This window comes from Homo sapiens, chromosome 8 (genome assembly GCF_000001405.40).
Source record: "Homo sapiens chromosome 8, GRCh38.p14 Primary Assembly".
Lineage (NCBI taxonomy): Eukaryota > Metazoa > Chordata > Mammalia > Primates > Hominidae > Homo > Homo sapiens.
In genome coordinates, this window is record NC_000008.11 from 2,281,546 (window position 1) to 2,285,586 (window position 4,041).

Below are 4,041 nucleotides of genomic sequence, written 5' to 3' on the forward strand. Positions count from 1 at the left end.
CCTTGCCCCAATGTGGTCTTCGGTTGGTAATTCAACATCTCTTGTATATATTATCTTTGTATATACCTTAATATATTAATAATTTAAAGCCCCAGTATAATTCCCTGCATAAAGTAAGACTGAACTAAGTCCCCTTTTTATAATGGTGAACCTGATTATGCACTGTTAACAGACAGTGCAGTAATTTTCAGAGATCATAGCACAACCACACTCTTCTGAGCTGGTTTCTCTGTCTACAGCAGCCATCTGTATTTAAACAAACCTCAAAGGTGGGGTGTGTGTGTAGAATTCTAGGTATTTAGAAAAGCCAGAAATTCAGTTTATAAACAACTGTTCAAAGCCAAAGATTATGACATCAATTAGCATTTCTAAAATCGCTAGGTGAGTGGTATTTTGCTTCATCATTTCTGTGACACATTCCAAGCAAGCATCATTGTATATGGTATTTATCACGATCGAAGGTTCGCATTCATTTGAAGTTCCGGTCATTCTCTTTTTTACGACACCACCCAGCATATCAGTTGGTTGTGCAAATGGACCTCCAGCACTCTCCTAGATGTAGAAGACCTCTGTTGGCAAATGTCCACCTCCCCAACTCTCTTTGTATGAAAGCCCTCTTGTGACTGCTGGTGTTTTCAGATGGACAGAGTGGTGGGGGGAGGGGGGGAAGTGCATGGTAATCAATGACCTCTAACACAACGGGGGGAGGATTTAAATGAGTAAACATGCACACATGTACATGCACCTACACATGCACACACAGTCACACACACTCACCAGCCGACCTTCATAAAAAAGCACTTCGTAGTTAATGGAGTAACTGTCATTTTATATTCACTCTATTGCTACAAAAATTACAATGGCTGTAATAGTGTTTAATGCAATATTAATATCCACTCTAAAGACGAATTTGTTGCATAGAACATATTCCAAGTAAGAGGCTGTGCCTTGTGCTGGCCACTTCATTTTCAATATGGACAAGAACTGTCTCATGAGGCCAGTTGCAAGGAATTCCATGTGGGCATGATTCTCTCCTCAGCAAATATCTCTGGCAGAAGTGTTTTGTAGCAGAATTCTCAGGAGTTGCATGGGATTCTAAACATGAGTTCAGTGATGAAATCCAGATTTACGATCTCCTTTTCACCATGTTCTGCAAAAATGAATGCAACACAACAGGCACAGCCTTTGAGCTGTGTTATTGTCATTTGTATCCAAAATGCCTCAGCTCAATTCTAAGTTTCTTGAAAAACAGGAAGAGAGTAGGCATCCATCAGAAAATCTAATGATAGCAGTGGCCCAAGATTGTTTCCTTTGCCTTATGAAGTGTTACCCTTATCAGCATCAGCATGAAATATTATTTATTAAGCCTCCTCTTGGGCCTGGTGCCATGCAGGGTAGTATTTCTCTCTGCAGTTACCTCATTGTGCTAGTTTTTCAAATATACCTGACCAATTTTGTTGTAAAATCAGTTTCTTTCTTGTTAACAAAATAGGTTATTTTTGTACTAATTAAAATCACAAGATAATTGAGTTTGTTTGCAATTTCAATGAAAGTGGTTCAAAAGCTCTAAAGGGCCGGGGTGTTAAGTGTCACTGCAGCAACGATGAATGTACCACAGGGTTCCTTAGTCATCAACCGTGGACTCGTTTGGAAAACGAGGATGAATTTGGGCATTCACAGCAGATGACACTTCCATTATCAGGACATAAATAAGCACTATGAATATGCATGGTACTTAGAAACAGGCACTTAATTTCCACAAAGACAGTCATTCTCCTTGATATGAGTTAGCTGTCTTTTGTAATTGTTCATTTTGCATTCTTTTTCTCCTAAAGTTTCCCCAAACAGTGGGAGCAGGGGGTGGGGGAAGAAAAATAAAACTACTAAACAGATAAAATGTTAATTGTAATTTATGGAAATAGAACAAAGCATTGAGAACTTTGCACAGCCTTGTGCAAGCAATAGTTATTTTGTACAACTAGGAAGACTCTATGCAGTGTGGATTTAAGTTGGAGGTAAAGCCCAGAATGTGGAGGAGGTGGAGTGGCCTCCTAGCACAAGAAAACCACATGGTTAATTGATTTTTGAAGCCCTTGGGCTCACACGCATTGCGTGCCCAACCTGGACGTCTCCAGGTGAATGGGTGCAGGGCTGCATTTCACGTTCATCTGGTGTCTCTCCTGTGGGCAGCTCTGATGTTGGTCTTCTCCTGCTGAACTTATTTTCTTTGTTATGACGGAATTAGCAAGAATTAAAGGGAGGGGGTGTTGAAGATCATTAGCACCTACTTGTAACTTTCTTCCTGACATAATTCTAAGATTGAAAAGTATCAGCCAGACCACTACGGAGAAAAAAAGTGTTATTTGCTACAACATTGCGTGTGAAGACAAATACCTCATGATTTCATCTGTTGCAGAAATCTCAAAAGTTTATCACAGCAAATGAGAAAGCCATTCTGGTCTTTATTTATAAACTCCAACGGGTTTATCTCTCCTTCCTGAACATTAAAATCTGAAAGGCAGTTTGCCTCTTAACCAAGCATCTGTCTCTGGGAGTCATCAGCAGAAGTCTGCACAGGGGAAAAAGGCGGTCTCGCCTTCGTCAGTGCATGGGCCCCGTCCAGCCACTGTCAGTGATGGCGTCCTCTGTGTCAAATAGCTATGCCCAATTTAAAAGAAAACAACAGCAACAGGCTTCTGTTGTCTTCAAGTAGCTGCAAAAATCCCTTAGGGAAAACGAAAAACATCTTATCCAGTTCGGCAATCAAGAGGATCAGCGTGTTGTAACCTCCGTGTTTTCAGCAGCACCCACAGTGGAGGCAGAAGTGGTTTTGATTTCTCCCTGTGGTTGGGGTCTCACTTCTCATGTCCACCGCTCTATTGCTCAGTATTATGCTAATGAGCGCTCCTGTAACTGCACTTACATCACAACTGAGTAGATCCCAACGGGATTTGCTTTGCTGGTTCAGCGGCTGCTCCTGTGGCGCCTCCTTGTGGACTGTTTTCCCCCGTGACTGCCCCAGCCTTGTCCGCCATGACACTCTTCCAGGCCTGGTGACGAGCGAGCTTCTGCCCGCTTCTCACACTGCCTTATATGTAATGATGTATTAAAAATCTTGGCCTTTTATCAAATGCTTGATCTATGTGTCAGATTTCTCCGCTTGCTTTATGCAGGTGTTGGGAGCATCGCCATTCTTCTTTGATACCATTTTTTAGAATTTTAATGCAAAGACTTGGGATCTTTTCAAAAGTTTCATGCAAAGTTTGGGTATTTGGTGTAAGCCAGAAATAAAATTCTAAAGCCCCAGTTGGCTGAATGGAGCCCTGCTCTTGGCCAAGGGGATCTGAAAGAAACCTGAAAAATGATTTCAGGCCGTGCCGGGAAAGGGGGGTCAGACACACCTCCTTATACCCTCTCCCATTGCAATTCAGGTGCAAATGACCAGCATTTACATGAAACAACAGAGAACCCAAGACTGACAAAACAGATTCTTGGTAGCAATAAGATACTCAGTTCCAGCCTGACTCTGGTATAGCATCACATAATAGATAGCAAGCCCTGAAGAAATCGGAGTATTTTATCCCCAAAATATATTTATTTGGCATATTTTGAAACAGCCCCACAAAGCTATTTCTTGTGGAGGAAACTTGGCTTCTATAGAGAATCTCCATCCCTTTCTAGGTCATTTTCTGATCCAGGAGAGACTTGACTGAGTCTGACACCCTTTAGGGTCCTATAAGAGACATTTACCATTTATTCTCTCTGAAGCTGCTACCTGGAGGCTTCATCTACACACCAAGAACCTTGGCTTCCACAACACCCTTAATCTTAAAGCATTTCATTCTACCCATTGCAACTTTTTAGGCAAAGCTTAACTCTTTCAGTCTTTGAATCCACATGTGACCTGTAACCAACCCCTCCCACCCCTGTCAGCTTCAAGACATTTTTCCTTTCTGGACCAAACCAATGTATACCTTCCATTTATTGATTTATTCGTTTGTCTGTAACTTCTGTCTCCCTCAAATGTATAAAATCAAGTGG

The 4,041-nt window shown here is 41.6% G+C and overlaps 1 annotated feature.

Moving 5' to 3' along the window:
• Window positions 2,517–3,134: an enhancer, noted in NCBI's record as "H3K4me1 hESC enhancer chr8:2230117-2230734 (GRCh37/hg19 assembly coordinates)". NCBI's record gives its function as "activates a minimal SCP1, AML or CMV promoter by ChIP-STARR-seq in naive H9 embryonic stem cells {active_cell/tissue: H9 hESC(naive)}" and the evidence as "EXISTENCE:reporter gene assay evidence [ECO:0000049][PMID:30033119]".